Genomic DNA, 18,376 nt, shown 5'->3' with positions numbered 1-18,376 from the left:
CTCAGCCTCTCAGGTAGCTGGGACTACAGGTGCCTGCCACCACACCTGGCTAATTTTTTGTATTTTTAGTAGAGACGTGGTTTCACCATGTTAGCCAGGATGGTCTCGAACTCCTGACCTCGTGATCCACCTGCCTCGGCCTCCCAAAGTGTTGGGATTATGGGGGTGAGCCACCGTACCAGGCCCATGGCACCTCTCTTAATTTATAAATTGAACTGGATGTGAAGTAATAATGTCAGCTAGTTGAGATAAGAGGGTTACAGTTAGGCTGGGCGCAGTGGCTCACACCTGTAATCCTAGCACTTTGGGAGGCCTAGGCGGACTGATCACCAGGTCAGGAGATTGAGACCATCCTGGCTAACATCATGAAACCCCATCTCTACTAAAAAATACAAAAAATTAGCTGGGAATGGCCAGGCGTGGTGGCTCACACCTGTAATCCCAGCACTTTGGGAGGCCGAGGCAGGCGGATCATGAGGTCAGGAGATCAAGACCATCCTGGCTAACATGGTGAAACCCCATCTCTGCTAAAAATACAAAAAAAAAAAAAAATTAGCCAGGTGTGGTGGCGGGCACCTGTAGTCCCAGCTACTCGGGAGGCTGAGGCAGGAGAATGGCGTGAACCCAGGAGGCGGAGCTTGCAATGAGCTGAGATTGCACCACTGCACTCCAGCCTGGGCGACCAAGCGAGACTCCATCTCAAAAAAAAAAATTAGCTGGGCGTGGTGGCGGGCACCTGTAGTCCCAGCTACTTGGGAGGCTGAGGCAGGATAATGGCATGAACTCAGGAGGCAAAGCTTGCAGTGAGCAGAGATTGTGCCACTGCACTCTGGCCTGGGCAACAGAGCAAGACTCGGTCTCAAAAAAAAGAAAAAGAGGGTTACAGATCATTGCACATGGAAAATATTCCCAGCAGTAACCACTTCCATTAATGTGATCTACAGCTTTTAAAAAGGAGCATCTCAGAATAAGATGGTGGTACAATTTGCTTATTGAGAAAGGAAAAAAAAAAACACATGAGTATATTACAAAGGGAAAAGAAGGAATGTGATTTCTCATGATTGAAAGCTTGATTTAGATTGCATACAGCTTTTGCTACCCAAGACCAAGAGGCTCTGGCAAGACAGGGTGGTTTTCCGAATGCCAGACTGAGGTGCCTTATGAAGGCAGCTGCCGATGGTTCCAGATGTAGAGAGATAGGTGATGCAGGAGGGAAAGCTGGATTGGAAAAGGGAGAGTTTTGTAGACGGGCTACGCTCATTGTGCCTTTGAAAGAGCAGAGCCGGCAGCCTCTAGTCATCATTTGGATATACAGGACTAGAGCATGAATCTGATGTAGAGCTACAGAATGAAGAGCAACAGCAGCTGTTTAAATACCAAGAAAGTGTGTAGAATGAAATTGGACAAGCCAAGCATGGTGGTTTCATGCCTTTAGTCCTAGCTACTTCGGAGGCTGAGGTGGGGGAATTACTTGAGCTCAGCAGTTTGAGTTCAGCCTGGGCCAGATGGTGAGACCCTGTATCTTAAGAAAAGAAAAAATAAGACCAGGTGCAGTATCTCATGCCTGTAATCCCAGCACTTTGGGAGGCCAAGTTGAGAGGACTGCTCGAGTGTAGGACTTCAAGACCAGACTGGGCAATAAAGTGAGACCCATTTCTACCAAAAAAAAATCAAGAAATTAGCTGGACATGGTGGCACATGCCTGTGGCCTCAGTTACATGGCATGGCAGGCTGAGGCAGGAAGATCACTTGAGCCCAGGAGGTGGAGGCTGCAGTGACCCATATTCATGCCACTGCACTCCAGCCTGGGCAACAGAGTGAGACCCTCTCTCAAAAACAGATAAAGTGGACAGAAAATAGGTCAGTAAGGACTAATCATTTAAGGGACAAGCCCCCAGAAGAGTGGCTACTAGAGTGGGAGGAGGAAAAGCAGAAGGAGAAAGAGTTGAAGATAGGCGAGGCTGTGGTCCCAGTGCTGAATTCTGCCAAGCAGTGACTTGATTCATGAACACTCACTGGATGCTGACTCTGTTTCTCTTCTGAGTGCTGGGGTAGAGGAGAGGAGAGGTGGAGCACAGTTCTTGCTTTTATGAGCTTATGTTCTAGGAAGTTCAAGTATTTTTTTCAGGTAGTATGAAATAGCAGGAAGAGGAAGCAGGCTAAAGGGACACAGAGTGATTGGGGGCTATTTTAAGTAGAATGATAAGGAAGAGCCTGTCTAGAGAGCTATTTGAACAGTGACCTGACTGAAGGGACAACAGAAAGCAGTGCTGACATTACAGGTAGCAGGATGACTGCCAAGACAGAAACGCATTTCATATGTGTTTGAGGAACAAACAGCAAGGTGACCAGCATGGGGAGAGTGAAGAATGAGGGAAACCTTGAATGAGAATAAAGCAATTCCATCTTGGATGCTAATCTGCCATATTCTGATTAATCCCAGTTCCAACAATTCATCTACGATTTCTATTTTATCTTTTTAAAAAAATTATTTTTTATTTTTTATTTTTTGAGACCGAGTCTCACTCTGTCTCCCAGGTTGGACTTCAGTGGCACAATCTCAGCTCACTGCAAACTTCACCTCCTGGGCTCAAGCGATTCTCCTGCCTCAGCTTCCCGAGTAACTGGGATTACAGGCGCCTGCCACCACGCCTGGCTAATTTTTGTATTTTTAGTAGAGACGAGGTGTTACCATGTTGGCCAGGCTGGTCTGGAACTCCTGACCTCAGGTGATCCGCCCACCTTGGCCTCCCAAAGAGCTGGGATTGCAGGCGTGAGCCACCGTGTCTGGCCATACACATCCCTGCTGAAGCCCGCATTACCCTTCCCCTATGCTATAGAAGCCCTGGGTCGGGGGGGTGGGGGTGATGGCACAGGGATCCACCATCTTATCTTGGTGCCATCCCTGACTTGCCTTCTGTTCATAAACGCCTATTAAATGTTTCTTTCTGAGAAACTGGATTTGTCAGCCTCTTTCTTTGGTATCTCAGGTTCCTTGGCCTTTGCGGGTAGGTTTATATAGACCTGCTCAGCACAGGACAGGCAGTTTCTCAAAAAATTAAAAATAGAATTACCAAATGATCCGGCAATATCACTTCTGGGTATATAGCCAAAATAATTGAAAGCAAGGTCTCATAGAAATATGTGTACACTGATATTTATAGCAGTGGTATTCACACTCGTCAAAAGATGGATGCAGCCTAGTTGTCCATAGGCAGATGAATTGATAAAATGTGGTATATACATACAATAAAATGTTCTTCAGCCTTAAAAAGGAAGGAAATTCTAACACATGCTACAACATGGATGAACATTGAGGACATTACGCTAAGTGAAATAAGCCAGTTAGAAAAAGACAAATACGGTGTTCCTTCACTTATGTGAAGCGTCCAGACTGAGTAAGCAAACTAATAGAAACAGAAGGTAGAACGGGGGTTGCCAGGGACATGGGGAAGGGAGAAAATGGGAAGTTGCTTAGTGGATATAGAGTTTTGGTTTTGTCAGATGAAAAAGTTCCAGAGATTGGTTGCATGGCAATGTGAATATACATTACCCAACCCAAGGGCTCTCCTTGACCCCTGTTCCAACTGCCACTTAGAAGTGGTTAAGGTAGTAAATTTTATGTATATTTTACCACAATTCAAAATAGAATTATTATTTTTTCATTATAATTTTTTGAGATCCCTCACTCTATTGCCCAGGCTGGAGTGCAATGGCGCCGTCTCGGCTCACTGCAACCTCTGCCTTCTGGGTTCAAGTGATTCTCCTGCCTCAGCCTCCCAAGTAGCTGGAACTTACAGGCACATGCCACCATGCCCAACTAATTTTTGTATGTTTAGTAGAGACGGGGTTTCACCATGTTCGCCAGGCTGGTCTTGAACTCCTGACTTCAGGTGATCCGCCTGCCTTGGCCTCCCAAAGTTCTGGGATTACAGGTGTGAGCCACCATGCCCGGCTGTCAAAATAGGTGTTTTGTTGTTGTTTTTTTTTTTTGAGATGGAGGTTTGCTTTTGTTGGCCAGGCTGGAGTGCAATGGCAGGATCTCGGCTCACGGCAACCTCCACCTCCCGTGTTCAAGCAATTCTACTGCCTCAGCCTCCTGAGTAGCTGGGATTACAGGCATGCACCACCATGCCCAGTTAATTTTGTATTTTATTTTAGTAGAGATGGGGTTTCTCCATGTTGGTCAGGCTGGTCTCCAACTCCTGACCTCAGGTGATCCACCCACCTTGGCCTCCCAAAGTGCTGGGATTACAGGTGTGAGCCATTGCGCCTGGCCTTTTTTTTTTTTTTGTGATGGACTTTTGCTCTTGTTATCCAGGCTGGAGTGCAATGGCACGATCTCAGCTCACTGCAGCCTCTCCTCCCGGGTTCAAGCAATTCTCTTTCCTCAGCCTCCTGAGTAGCTGGGATTACAGGCATGCACCACCATGCCTGGCTAATTTTGTATTTTTGGTAGGTATGGGGTTTCTCCATGTTGATCAAGCTGGTTTTGAACTCCTGACCTCAGGTGATCCACCCACATCGGCATCCCAAAGTGCTAGGATTAGAGGCATGAGCCACTGCGCCTGGCCTGAAAAAAAATTTTAACGTTTGAGAAAATACAAAATTTTCATAGTCTCCAAGTATTTCTCCTAAGATCTTTCCCCCTATGAGGGGGAAAGATAGTATCTTTACAATGGAGAAACCCAGCAGAAACCTGAACCAAATGAACAAGTTCAACATCATCAGTAAGAAGAACTATCAATGCCATAACTCTGATGGAATGCACTGGGAAGGATTCCACATCATTTTTGTGCTGTAATTGCCAAAAGTTCGTAACTTCAGTCCAATCATGGAAATACATCAGACAATCCCAAATCGAGGAACATTTCATAAATACTGATCAGTACTGGTTCAAGATGTCACGGTTATGAAAGATAAGGAAAGATTGAGGAACTGTTATTGCAGTCCTACAAAACGGCGAGAGACTAAGAAATAACTAAATGCAGCGTGATCCTGGGTGGAATTTGGGAACAGAAAAAGGACATTAGTGGAAAAAGTGGTGAAACTCCAATAAGGTCTTTTGTTTAGCGAATATGTTCATTTTAAATCAGTTAAATTATTTAAATATATTTAAACATTAGTTAAATGTATTTAATTAAATTAATAAAATTGGTTATTTTGTGAAATAATTTTAATATAGTTAAATATGAGAATGTGGATTTCCTGGTTCTGATCACCGTACTGTGGCTATCTAAGAGGTGCATGTTCAGGGAGGCTGGGGGAGGAATAAATGGACATTATACTATTAAGTTGGAAGAGAGAAACCTACCCCATCAGTCACAAAACCCTCACATTCATGGCAGTGTGTCGGACGTTCCAGTATGAATGGCATTTCCCAGATGTCAGCGCGAGGTCCCTGTGGAGGGAGTGGGGCTCCCTGGGAATCTAGTGGAGAGCATTCGGGGCTCCCTTCCTCAGGAGCCTGCCCTTCCTGCACAGAAGCGTCAGCCTCACCTCTGTACCACTGCCCCTCTGCCTCTCAGAACCTACTCGGCTTCAGGAAGATTCTACTGCCAGCCTCCTTTCCCAGATACAGCCTCCAGGGACTCAGCCCTGCCTTCCCAAGTGTTCCCGCCTCTCTTGGGAAGGCGTGCTCTCAGATCCCACACCCCTGGACTTCCCCGGGCACCACCTGCTCCTTCTTCATTTCTCCAGCTCTGCGTTCTCACTCTGAGGGTCCTCTCCTGCTGGGAATGTGTGTTGCTGGCAACAGTGAAGATTCCCCCCTGGGTTGCCCCCCATGCCCTGTTCTTCTGCACTTCCCTGGCTTCCTGCGTTGGTTCTGCTGGTGTCTCCTGCTTTTGGGTTTACGTGGCTTCCCAGCTTCCTAATTTCTCTGAAGTTGAGTTTGATGTGTGTATTGATGATGGGCTTTTTCCTCCTCCTCCTCCTCCTCCTCCTCCTCCTCTTCCTCCTCAGTCTTGTTGTTGCCCCATATAGTTTCCAGAAGGAGAAAAGGGACACTGTAAAATTAAGCTGCTGCAGGCTGGGCAGTGGCTCATGCCTGTAATCCCAGCCCTTTGGGAGGCCGAGGCAGGTGGATCACCTGAGGTCAGGAGTTCAAGACCAGCCTGTTCAACATGGTGAAACCTCATCTGTACCAAAAATACAAAAATTAGCAAGGCATGGTGGCATGTGCCGGTAATCCCAGCTACTCGGGAGGCTGAGGCAGGAGGATCTCTTGAACGCGGGAGGCAGAAGTTGCAGTGAGCCGAGATCATGCTACTGCACTTCAGCCTGGGTAACAAGAGCAAAACTCCATCTCAAAATAATAATAATAATAATAATAATAATAATAATAATAATAATAATGCCATGTTTCTATCAGACCCAGAAATCCCGCAGAGTGAGCTGGAATTCTCTGTTTCTCTGTTTCCCCTCCATACCCACTGGCTCCTCTCTGCCCACTCCCTCTTGGACTGCATCACCAGGGTGCCTCACTGTCTGGCCCTAGTGGAATTCACACAGTGGAGGACGTCATAGGAGGTGGGAGAGAGAGAGAGAGGAGAGGTGGTTATTCGCTCAGATTCTTCCTTGTTGGTTTGGCAGTGGCCACATCTTTCTACTGATGGCTGCAGCTCCTGATGATCCTCCTCTACAGCCACAGCTCTCTTTGGGATCTGTGGACACCTTTCCTGTCCCTCTAGACCCAGGGAGATAACAGCTCCCACTCTTGCTGGTCCAGGACATTCCTCATCTCTTATTGGTTCCCTTAACTCGGTCCACACTTCTGTGAACAGCCCCTTTCCTCAAGTACCCATTCGAATATGTCCTCTGGCTTCCACCAGGAGCCTGACTGATACCCACAGGTGGGTGAATGCTGGCGTGCTGCTGGGCCCCTCTTCCTCTGGTGACTGGCCAGCCAAGTCTCCAGGAGTCTCGTTAGGGTGGGCAGGCGGTGGGCACAGCACAAACTGTGAGCTCAAATCCACAGAACAAAAGTGGGAGAAGACACTGGCAGGATGGACCGCCACAAAACTCTTGGCATTCGTGACGTCTGTCCTTTAAATCACGCAAGGCATCATCATGCTTCAGACATGAGACAGCCTAAGTATTTAAGTGTTTCAAATAAACAAATTGTTTTTCAGAATTGGTAATTGCTAAGTTGGCAAATTGCTATTGGAAACGTTGGCTGTCCTTGACTCAGTGATTCAGCCAGCTAGTCCCTTGCCAAACTAGTATGTTGGGCAAATTCCACCTTGAGAATTTATCTGCTCCTGTCAAAGCCAGATTCTCCCTGCCTGAGGGGAGGCTGGACTTGACCTTCTGACTCAGGATATGCTGACTTGGGTCCCTAGGTCCAAGGGCGGCCCTCTTGGGCCCACTGTGGGCTGGACCTCTTCCATGATGGGGTGGTGGAGGGCAGGCCCCACCTGATTCACACTTGACCTCATCCAGGCAGGTGAAGTTCCCTGCAGGAGTCACCTGAGCCCAGCCCCTCAGACCAGGATCCATCATGTTTAGGAGGATTTGGGGCTATCTCATGTTCTTTGGCTAGAAAGGGGTCCCACTCTTAGGGGTCTGCCCTCTGTGGGGCACAGATGGCTTGCTGGGGCCCATGGACGGGGCTGGGTGAATGGGAATCTGGTCACAGCAGCAGCAGCTGGAAGGCCAAGAGGGAGGGCACCAGGGCCTGGGACCCATGTCTTGTCCTGGGCCTCCCCGGGCCTCTTGCCTTCTCCCCAGCAGGCATTTGGGATCTGTGTCTGGACCCAGCCTCGCCCAGAAGGCCATGGTGTGTTGTCATTAGAATCACAGTGCTCACACCAAGGCAGTGCATTAAATTAGCAGGGCAGGGTCTCATGGGCAGGGGACCATGTGGAGGGGGTGGGGGGAAGGGCAGTTGTCCCCAGAGGCCATGGTGGGCCTGGCTCTGGGCTGGGCAGTGGGCCAGGGTCCTGCTGTGTGGATGAGCTCTGACAACAGGCTGTCTGGGTCTGGTGAGCTCCTGAAAGCGGGGACTGGTGGAGAGTACCCTAGGGTGGGAGCTCATGAGGAGGGGGTCTGTGGGGTCTGGAAGCCATTCTAGAGCAGGCAGATGACATTTATCAGGGGAGCAGGCATAGAAAGGACCCTTGTGTGAGTGGGGGGACACACAGCCTCAGAAGAAACAGGGAAGGGGCTTTGACAGGTCCAGGGAGAATCCCTGAGGTTTCCTAGAACAATTCCCACCAGCCATGTCCCAGGTGTCACCCCATCCCCCAGGCCTCTGCAGTGCCAGCCCAATGCCCTGGGCAAAGCATCCTGGACTCTGGCTGTTACAAAAGGAGGACAGGGTCATCTGGACCCGCCTGAGCTCCAGGCCCCCGACTTTCACAGCCCCTTCTGGGTCCAGAAGTTCATACGTATATAAATGAAAAATGTGCAAGAATCATATTATTGTATTCTTTTTCATAAAGAGGCCCCTCTAAATTGTTGAAGCCCCGATTCACCCCTGCCCAAAGGAGACAGCAATGGCATGTGTGGGGCCACAGTCTTGAGACCCAGAGGTCCTGCTGCCCACGATACCCACTGTCCACCCTAGGGGGACTGGCCGTAGCCCTGGAGCCCGCAAACACCATGCAGGAATGCAAGAGGGTCTCAGCTCCCGAGTCCCAGGCTGGGAGGGCCCACAGTCCAGTAAACTAATCAGGCCCCGACACATCCAGGAGAGCAGCTCCAGGAGCCTGCATTGGGGAGAGAGCCTCAGACCCCTGCCACAGGCCTGCACCCCAGAAGTAGGAGCATGGGAAGACCTCTCCTTGGCTCCTGGCCAGCAGAAGTCACATTCCCCAGCCCTCTGGCTCCAAGGCAGCCTCACGTCCCAGTCACTCCTTGGCACACCCTACCAGTTGGTCAGAGCTCACTGCCAAAGGGCACCTCAATGATGAGTGGAGGGAACAGGTGTTTACCAGGAGCTTGCATGCTTTGCCTCAGGGATGATTAGGGACACAGCCAAGAAGGCACGCTATGCCCATTTTACAGATGAGGAAACGGAGGCTCAGGTTGGGCTGGTGACTAAGGGAAGCAGCATGTGGCAGGTGGCTTGAGGCATGTCTGTCCATCATGAGTAACTAGGGAGCAGCCCTGCCACTCCTCATGCGATGCACCAGGAGCCAGGGAAGCTGCTTCCTAGGGGATTCTAGCTAAGGCCAGAAGCATCTCCCTGAGTGGTGGTGGAGGCCTCTGTCTACTCCTCCAGGACTGCCAGGGGATAGGAGGGCACTGCTGACCTCACAGAGCCTCTTGGGTGAGTGAGCATCAGCTGAGCGACACCAGGTGACTACGCTTCTGCCCAGTGCTGTGCCCCCCTCTGACTCGGGCAAGGCACCACCCTGAACGCCCCACCCTGTCCCATGGAGGCCGCAAACTGCTCTGCAGAGCCAGGGTCTCCAGGAATGGGGAGGGCAGTCACCCTCATTCCACTTGTGTTCATGACTCAAAGGACTGCCCAGGTCTCCAGGCCCATAGAACCCCCAAACCTCTTACTAGGCCACACTGGGGACCTTGAGCAGCAGGCTTGGAATCCTAGGCCTTGTCTCCAGGTACATATCAGTACCCAGGCTTGGGAAGCTTTGGTCTCAGGGGGGCTGGCACTCAGGCCCTCTGCCTCAAGGAAGAAGCATGTCCAGATCTCTACTGTCCAGCCCTGCTCCCTGCCCCTATCCTTCACGGGGTCCCTAGGACAGGGTTACAGAAGCCTCATGCTGTCAGGGGATGCTGCCACCCTAGTTCCAGGGTGGCTCCGCCCAGCCCCTTCCTGCTGCCGCCCTCACTGACTCACCTGTCCAGCCTCCTACTGGGCTGGGGTGAGGGCTTATTGCCCCAGAGCCTAGATAGGCACCAGAGGCAGCTATAAAAGCATGTTGGGCCAGTCCTCAGCATCCTAGTTCGCCACTGTCTGCTGCCACACGATGCTGGGAGGCCTGGGGAAGCTGGCTGCCGAGGGCCTGGCCCACCGCACCGAGAAGGCCACCGAGGGAGCCAGTGAGGACCCAGGGCTCCTTTCTACCTGGGCTGGGGGGATCTGGGGCAGACTGGGTCTGTGGGAGGCGGATCTACGTAGGCAGGCGAGGACCTGCGGGGAGGCCTTGGCCCCTCAGGAACCCTGGTCTCCTGCTCTACCAAGTCAGCACGGAGTTGAGGGGTGCAGACCTGGGGAGGTCTCCTGGGGGCAGGGCATGAGTCCTGGTGCTGGGTGAACACTGGCAGCTTGGACCCTTCCCTCTGGAAATCTGGGGAGCCTTTCTTGTCAAAACAGCCTATTCTGAATAACCTATGCAGGAAAAGGAAGATGGATTTTTATTTTTACCATAACTTTAAAGCTTCAAAGATTTCTTAACAAGTCACCAAGTCTGTTCAAAGTCAAAAAGGGCATTTTCAATTTCATCCAAGTCCCCTAAAGCATGTTTATTTTTATTTGTATTTGTATTTGAAATGGAGTCTTGCTCTGGCACCCAGGCTGGAGTGTAGTGGTGCGATCTCGGCTCACTGTAACCTTTGCCTCCTGGGTTCAAAGTGATTCTCATGCCTCAGCCTCCTGAGTAGCTGGGATTACAGGCACCCACCACCACGCCCGACTAATTTTTGTATTTTTAGCAGAGACGGGGTTTCGCCATTTTGGCCAGGCTGGTCTCAAACTCCTGACCTCAAGTGATCCATTCCTCTTGGCCTCCCAAAGTGCTGGGATTACAGGCGTGAACCACTGCACCTGGTCCCGAAGTGTATGTTGTATTCAGAGGTCAGCAGGTATGTGTGGGGAGGCCCAGCCAGGCCCCACTCATGGGTCATCGTGTGAAAAAGTCTTGCCTGAGTTTGTGTCCTCTTTCTAAATGGCAGCAGATGCGTATTTTGTTTTTGACTCTGCAGCTGGTGTGGACCACCTGCTTTAACCTTTCACTAGCCTCTGAGTTTTTTATGATTCCTGTTGGGAGAAAAGCTCAGCGTTGGGAGAAAAGCTGAGGCAGGGCTTGCTAGACTTGCTGGCTCCTTGCTTCTAGCACTGCCATTCTCTCAAGTAGCCATATGTTTCTCATTCACTTGATACACTGTTTCCTTTCAACCTCCACATCCTCACCACCTGTTTCTTTGTTAGATCACCAATAAATAGCGTGGGCTCCCAGAACTCGGGGCCTTCGCAGCCTCCACACTCGCGATAGCGCCCTGCTCCCATTTTCTCTCTCGAACTGTCTCTTTGTCATTCCTTTGACTCCGCTGGACTTGCCGCCCCCGTGACCTGGTGTTGGGTCTCATCATCCCAACAGATTCCCATTCTAAAGATGAGGGAACCAAGAGGTGGAAGGTAGAGTTAGAATAAGAACCATTTCTTCTGACTCTGAAATCCTTCAGTTCTAGCACGCTACCACCCACACTTTAAAAAACTCTGAAGTAGGCAGAGAATTCCGTTTTGTTGGAGGAATTGCTTTGAGAGACCTGGTCTTAGTGGATGAGGCTTTGGAAACCAACCTGAGGCAGGCGCTAGCACATCCTGAGAGGGGTGTGACCTGGCACACAGGCCCAGCCTGGGCTTCATGTCTCAGCTGGCAAGACTGCCTGCTCATTGCCATTCCAGGCCGGGCAGGGCCAAGGGGCTTCAGGGACCCATGCCCTCATGGGGCTCATTGAGCTCGTCTCCCAGCAGCCAAGGCCCTGGCGTCTCCAAATGAAGCCAGCTGTGGGGGAAGGTCCTTCTCATGAGTCAGTCTGTCCTGGCTGGGGGTGGCACCCCAGAGCCCCATCTAGGATGCCCAGGGATGTATAGGTCTGTTGTGAGGATAAGCCAGCCCTGAGCCCTCACCCTGGACTGGGAGGGCAGTGGGCCTGCTCTGAGCCCTCACCCTGGACTGGGAGGGCAGCGGCTCTGCTCTGAACCCTCACCCTGGACTCGGGGGCAGCCGGCCTGCTCTGAGCCCTCACCCTGGACTTGTCTCCTCTGTTCAGTTCATGCCGTGGAGGAAGTGGTGAAGGAGGTGGTGGGACATGCCAAGGAGACTGGAGAGAAAGGTACAGCCGGCTGAGGTCGGGCAGGGAAGGAGGGAGGGAGGAAGGGAAGCTAGGTGCTGGGCCAACCTGTTCTTTGACTAACCAGGTCAAACTCTGCCCCTAATGTTGCAGCCTTTCAGAGCCTCTTGGCTGGGGCAGTTATCTATGCTCATCAGAGGCCACAGACTGTACTGCGTTAGGACACTGTCTAGATGGTTCTCTCTGTGGAATAAGAAGACAAAGTCACACAAGACTATGTGACAGCACACTGGGACAAAACATTTAACATGGCAGGGTGCGGTGGCTCATGCCTGTAATCCCAGCACTTTGGGAGGCTGAGGAGGGCGGATCATGAGGTCAGGAGATCGAGACCATCCTGGCTAACACGGTGAAACCCCGTCTCTACTAAAAATACATAAAAATTAGCCGGGCATGGTGGTGGGTGCCTATAGTCCCAGCTACTTGGGAGGCTGAGGCAGGAGAATGGTGTGTACCTGGGAGGCAGAGCTTGCAGTGAGCCTAGATCATGCCACTGCACTCCAGCCTGGGCTACAGAGCAAGACTCGGTCTCAAAAAAAAAGAAAAAAATAATTGCTGGGGGCGGTGGCTCACGCCTGTAATCCCAGCACTTTGGGAGGCTGAGGTGGGCGGATCATGAGGTCAGGAGATCCAGACCACGGTGAAACCGCATCTCTACTAAAAATACAAAAAATTAGCTGGGCACGGTGGCGGGCACCTGTAGTCCTAGCTACTCGGGAGGCTGAGGCAGGAGAATGGCGTGAACCTGGAAGGTGGAGCTTGCAGTGAGCCGAGATCGCGACACTGCACTCCAGCCTGGGCGACAGTGTGATACTCTGTCTCAAAAAAAAAAAAAAAAAAAAAAAAAAAAAAAATTTAACATGTAAAATTCTATGTTAAATGTTAAATTGATGTGTGTGAGCTATGAGTAGTACTATGTACAAAGCATGTGTATATCTCATTCCTTTTCAACAAAATAGATTCCAGGTAGATGAAGGACTTACATTTACATAAATGAATTTATTAACTTACTAGGAGATAAACATCTTAGCTCAGGCTGCTCTTATAAAATACCATAGGCCAGGTGCAGTGGCTCACGCCTGTAATCCTAGCCCTTCGGGAAGCCAAGGCGGGTGGGCCACCTGAGGTCAGGAGTTCGAGACCAGCCTGACCAATATGGTAAAACCCCATTGCTACTAAAAATACAAAGACCAGCTGGGCATGGTGGCACATGCCTGTAATCCCAGCTACTCAGGAGTCTGAGGCAGGAGACTCCCTTGAACCTGGGAGGCGGAGGTTGCAGTGAGCTGAGATTGCACCACTGCACTCCAGCCTGGGTGACAGAGCAAGACTCTGTCTCAAAAACAAAAACAAACCATAAACTGGGTGACTTAGAAACAACAGAAATTTATTTCTCACACTCCTGGAGGATGGGAAGTCCAAGATCAAGGAAGGCACTGGCACATTTGGCATCTGGTGAGGGAGTCTTTCTGGTTCATGGATGGGCCCAGCTCTGTCCTCACATGGTGGAAGGAGCTAGCTCTCCGTGGTCTCTTTTATGTGGGTGCTAATTTCAACCTCCCAAAGGCCCCACCCCTTAATATCATTACATTAAGACTGAGGATTTCAGCATATGAGTTTTGAGGGGGAAGACATCGTAAACATTTAGACATAGTAATAACATCAGAGACTTTGGCCTAATCTTGGAGAGGGGAGAATCTTTAGAACTATGACAAAAAAATCAGCGCCATAAAGGAAATATTAAGTAAATTTGACAATCCAAAACTGAAATTTTCTATAGCCAAAAAAAAAAACACTATAAACCAAGCCAAAAGAAAAATTATACACTGATGAAAAATATTTGTCATAAAAATGATAATCCAATATAACAACCCAATATAAAAATGGTCAAAAGACATAAGCAGGCATTTTCCAGAAAAAAGGATAAGCAGGCAATGTACCCATGAGTAGATGCTCAGTCTCACTCACAGTTGAAGAAATGCAAGTTGTTGGGGAAATTAAAACCAAATTCAAATTCATTCTGCAGTAATCCTGCTGCCCTTGGTCCCATCGGGCCACTCCAGAGACTAATCCATTAAGATGGCCACATCCCACAGGCCACTCAAGGGGACACAAGTTCAGCAGGTGGATCACTAGGACATTCTTCCTCTTTCCAACAGCCATTGCTGAAGCCATAAAGAAAGCCCAGGAGTCAGGGGACAAAAAGATGAAGGAAATCACCGAGACAGTGACCAACACAGTCACAAATGCCATCACCCATGCAGCAGAAAGTCTGGACAAACTTGGACAGTGAGTGCACCTGCTACCACGGCCCTTCCCCAGTCTCAATAAAAAGCCATGACATGTGTACATTGAGCGCTGGATTTATTCCCATTTGGATGGAAACACTAGGCAAAGTATTTTCTTGTTGACATAACATATTTTACATATTTATGGTGTACACTTAAGTATTTATTACATGCACAGAATAGTGATCAATCAGGGTGTTTGGGGTGTCTATCACCTTGAATATTTGGTATTACTATGTGTTGGGTACATTTCAAGTCCCTTCTTCTAGCTACTTTGTTTTTTTGTTTTTGTTTTTGTTTTTGTTTTGAGATAGAGTCTTGCTCTGTCGCCCAGGCTGGAGGGCAATGGTGTGATCTCGGCTCACTGCAACCTCTGCCTCCCAGGTTCAAGCAATTCTCCTGCCTCAGCCTCCCAAGTAGCTTGGACTACAAGCGCAGGCCACCATCTCTGGCTAATTTTTATTATTATTATTTTTTATTGTTTTTATTTTTAGTAGAGATGGGGTTTCACCATGTTAGCCAGGCTGGTCTCAAACTCCTGACCTCAGGTGATCTGCCTGCCTGGGCCTCCCAAAATGCTGGGATTATAGGCATGGGATACTGTACCTAGCCTTCTAGCTACTTTGAAATATACAATACATTGCTGCTAACTATAGTCACCCTAGGTGAAGTATTTTTCAACAGAAACACTTTGCATGTCCCCCGTGTCTCCTCTGCTGAGGTGGACACTGGCACTGGGGCCCCTGCTGCTGGTTGGATAGGTCCTCATGATGAAACAGATGCTTCTCTGTCATGCTAAGTAAGATCTTTCATGTCAGGAAGGGGCTCTTCTGGAAGAATAGTTAGTGTCTGTGCTTCATTTCCTAAAAAACTGTTTCACCAGAAACTATATACAACTTTCAGGTGCCTCAGTGCTTCAAGACATGCTAAGGGAGGACCCTCATTTGTCTTGCATGTTTTTGGGATTTTTCTTGAGATGTTCTTGCAGGACTCAGGGCAGATAACAGACCAGCTTGATGAAGAATTTAGCAAGGAAGGCCCCCACTGAGCTGCTTCCTGTTCTCGCAGAGATCAGATAAGCATTTCTGCTGGACGGTTACAGAATCTGGTCAAGGAGAGACTGAGTCACTGCTCATCATCCTAGAAGCTGCTGTTGATTTTTTTTTTTTTTAAAGACGGAGTTTCACTCTGTTGCCCAGGCAGGAGTGCAGTGGCATGTTCTTGGCTCACTGTAACCTCTGCCTCCTGGGTTCAAACAATTCTCCTGCCTCAGCCTCCCCAGTAGCTGGGACTACAGGTGCCCGCCACCACTCCTGGCTAATTTTTTGTATTTTTAGTAGAGACGGGGTTTCACCATGTTAGCCAGGATGGTCTCGATCTCCTGACCTCATGATCCACCTGTCTTGGCCTCCCAAAGTGCTGGGATTACAGGCGTGAGCCACCGCACCTGGCCCAGAATATTTATTTAGAGACTGATGTCAGGCCTAAGTGTTGATAGTGGGTAGTAGTGGGCAAGATGCCTGGCCCTCTCTCCTTCTCATGAGCAAGTCAGTATCATAGAGGTTAAACATATCTTTAAGTAGCATTTAACTTAACATTTTTTAATTAAAAAAAAGAGAAGTAATTTGTAAAAATATTGCATCCCCTATTTCTCTTGCTGGAAGCTATTTGTTCTTAGCAGAAATGAGAAAAAAAGGTGTTTTGCTTAAAAAATAAGTGAGTTGCTCACCATACTTCTGGATCTCATCTAGAATTGGACTCACAGTTTGTGAACAGCCCAGGTATAGCCAATGTCTTAGCTTTGGAACGCTTGCCACTTTCCAGCTACAGCTGAACCTTATATCCTGGTTTGGTTCCTGATGACTTTCAAATTCTCCTGACCCAAACGCAAGCTCAGAAGCACAAGCACATTGTTGGTGGCAGTACAGACTGAAACACCCTCTTTGGATGGCAGTTCCTCTCACAGGACTTTATTCTCCAGGTATGCACAGGCACACACAGGTGCCCAAAGGATAAACACACAGATCTATTGTAGCATATTTGTATTACTGAGAGATTAGAAACATCCTAAAATGTTAACCAAATCGCTTGGATGAAAAGTTTTGCTCTGCTTATTAGGTTTGGCGTACAATATGGAGGTGACATCTGTTACTTCCAGTGTATTATAGATACTTTAGCTCCAAAAATGATACCTGTACCTAGATGGGCACCAAAAGGGAATGGTTAACAAATATTGCATATACAGGGGTATGGGGCAGCTCCGGGGCTGGGGATGGCGGCGGCCAGGTTTGCAGCGGCTCCAGGATGAGCGGGTGGATCCCGGGAAGCGTGGTGAAATGGGCTGGCTCCCGAGCCAGCCGGGAGGACGCTTACTACAGCTGCTCAGAAGCACCACTGGAAGCTCAGATGTAGGTGCCCCAGCCAGAAGCAGAGAGGGGTTCAGAGAAGCTACAGAGAAGCCCCTCCTGATGCCCCAGGGAGCAAGCCAACTCCTTCCAGGCTCCAGGAACACCACAAAGCAATATGAAACCTGTTCATGAGAGGAACCAGGAATGCCTTCCACCAAAGAAACGAGACCTCCCCATGACCAGCTGCTCCACTAACCACACATCCTCCAGTGATGCCTCTGAATGGTCCCGAGGGGTTGTGGTGGCCGGGCAGAGCCAGGCAGGAGCCAGAGTCAGCCTGGGGGGTGATGGAGCTGAGGCCATCACCGGTCTGACAGTGGACCAGTATGGCATGCTGTATAAGGTGGCTGTGCCGCCTGCCACCTTCTCACCAACTGGCCTCCCATCTGTGGTGAATATGAGCCCCTTGCCCCCGGAAAAAAAAAATAATATTGCATATGCAGTTGATTAAATGGCATACTCCATGGCTATTAGGAGTGATGAAAATGGGCTGGGTGCGGTGGCTCATGCCTGTAATCCCAGCACTTTGGTAGGCCAAGGTGGGCAGATCACCTGAGGTCGGGAGTTTGAGACCAGCCTAATCAACATGGAGCTGTGTTTACTGAGTGGGGCTTTCGCAGGCTGGAGCTAAGAATTTCCAGTATGCGTAACAGCCACAGCCCAAATATCTGCCAGTGAGTTGTGTAATTCCCCAGAGCAGGCCTGGGCAGTGTCTGGGTGGGGCCTGGGAGCCACAGGAGATGCCCAAAGCCAGGCAGAGCCCGGGGGCGAGGGGACGGCAGGCAGGTGTGGCGCTGCCCTGGGCGGGCTTGCACCCCCACACCCAAGTGAGCGGCCTGCTCACTCCTCAGCTGCAGGAGCCAGACGTGTGGAGTCCCAGCAGAGGCCAACCTGTGTCTCTTCATCTCCCTGGGAAAGGTGCCCCCGAGGTGAAAGAGATGGCCTGGTGGAAATCCTGGGTAAGTGGGAGCTGGCAGGAGATTTGGGTTCCTGCATGGTGTTGGGTGCTGGTCACCAGGGAGTCCTGAGAAATGTAAAGTCGCCCTTGGCTGGGAGTGGCTCAGTCTACATTTGGCTGCCTCCTGGGCCAAGCATGGAGGGTGGGAAGGGGCCGAGAAGAAACAGTCCCAGGCCTAGAGTGCCCACGGCAGGGATGGGACCTGGGCCGGGAGACAGGCTGATGAAGAAATCTAGAAATGCAAGGGGGAAGCTGAGGTTTGAGAAGAGTCCAGGGGAGGGACCCTTGCAGGGGTGGGGCCACTCAAAGGAGGGGGTATCATGGTTGAGCCTTGTGTGTAAATGTGTATGGGGTGCACACACGTGTGCATTTGGGGAGAATCAGGCATACTGCTCCTGGCAGAGGGAACTGTGTGCAGAGGGTCAGAGGGCAGGGAGCTTGGCTTCGAGGGAAGCTGCTCAGCACAGCTCAAGGGTCCTGGTACCGGAGGAGATGGACCTGGGGAAGCAGGCAGGGCCAGGTCCTGAAAGGCCTTGCCTGGCAGGCTGAGGAGTTAGGCTTTACCTTAAGAGAAGTGGGAAGGCACTGAAGGGCTTTGAGCATGAGAGTAACCTGAACCTGCTGTTGGGGACCCATCAATGCCTTCACCTCAGGGATCAATGATGTTCATTTGTCAA

The 18,376-nt window shown here is 50.0% G+C and overlaps 2 protein-coding genes across 15 annotated transcripts in view, besides 2 other annotated features; both read left to right on the top strand.

Moving 5' to 3' along the window:
• ANXA8 (annexin A8) overlaps positions 1 to 18,376 on the top strand; it is a 523,804-nt gene that overhangs the window by 490,184 nt on the left and 15,244 nt on the right. For 9 of the 14 annotated variants that reach the window (XR_945805.1, XR_002957008.1, XR_246202.2 and 6 more), the window contains exons 1-2: positions 16,842 to 17,132; positions 17,593 to 17,700. The exons of 1 other annotated variant lie outside the window; for it this stretch is intronic. Coding sequence is in view for 8 of the 13 variants with exons in the window: in XM_011540098.1 (XP_011538400.1) it covers positions 16,857 to 17,132; positions 17,593 to 17,700 (384 nt within the window). In the remaining 5 variants the exon portion in view is untranslated. Of the gene's footprint in view, positions 1 to 16,801; positions 17,133 to 17,497; positions 17,701 to 18,376 lie in introns of those variants that run through there. 4 more of the 14 variants (NM_001271703.2, NM_001040084.3, NM_001271702.2 and 1 more) reach the window with 2 other exon arrangements.
• FAM25G (family with sequence similarity 25 member G) lies at positions 9,913 to 14,394 on the top strand. The gene is made up of 3 exons (NM_001137549.2): positions 9,913 to 10,011; positions 11,965 to 12,027; positions 14,205 to 14,394. Exons 1-3 carry the CDS (start codon positions 9,939 to 9,941, stop codon positions 14,336 to 14,338), a joined length of 270 nt encoding a protein of 89 aa, NP_001131021.1. The 5' UTR covers positions 9,913 to 9,938; the 3' UTR covers positions 14,339 to 14,394.
• Positions 16,503 to 17,403: an enhancer, noted in NCBI's record as "H3K4me1 hESC enhancer chr10:48254252-48255152 (GRCh37/hg19 assembly coordinates)". NCBI's record gives its function as "activates a minimal SCP1, AML or CMV promoter by ChIP-STARR-seq in naive H9 embryonic stem cells {active_cell/tissue: H9 hESC(naive)}" and the evidence as "EXISTENCE:reporter gene assay evidence [ECO:0000049][PMID:30033119]".
• Positions 17,404 to 18,304: an enhancer, noted in NCBI's record as "H3K4me1 hESC enhancer chr10:48255153-48256053 (GRCh37/hg19 assembly coordinates)". NCBI's record gives its function as "activates a minimal SCP1, AML or CMV promoter by ChIP-STARR-seq in naive H9 embryonic stem cells {active_cell/tissue: H9 hESC(naive)}" and the evidence as "EXISTENCE:reporter gene assay evidence [ECO:0000049][PMID:30033119]".

This window comes from Homo sapiens, chromosome 10, assembly GCF_000001405.40.
Source record: "Homo sapiens chromosome 10, GRCh38.p14 Primary Assembly".
NCBI classification, from domain to species: Eukaryota; Metazoa; Chordata; class Mammalia; order Primates; family Hominidae; genus Homo; species Homo sapiens.
This window is presented reverse-complemented; position numbering and strand designations above follow the sequence as displayed.

Bases quoted from the DNA above. Each gene is read 5' to 3' on its own strand.
- FAM25G (NM_001137549.2), top strand. From the start codon at position 9,939: ATGCTGGGAGGCCTGGGGAAGCTGGCTGCCGAGGGCCTGGCCCACCGC. The intron at 10,012-11,964 runs GTGAGGACCCAG...TCCTCTGTTCAG, and splicing joins GAAGGCCACCGAGGGAGCCA to TTCATGCCGTGGAGGAAGTG. The intron at 12,028-14,204 runs GTACAGCCGGCT...TCTTTCCAACAG, and splicing joins CAAGGAGACTGGAGAGAAAG to CCATTGCTGAAGCCATAAAG.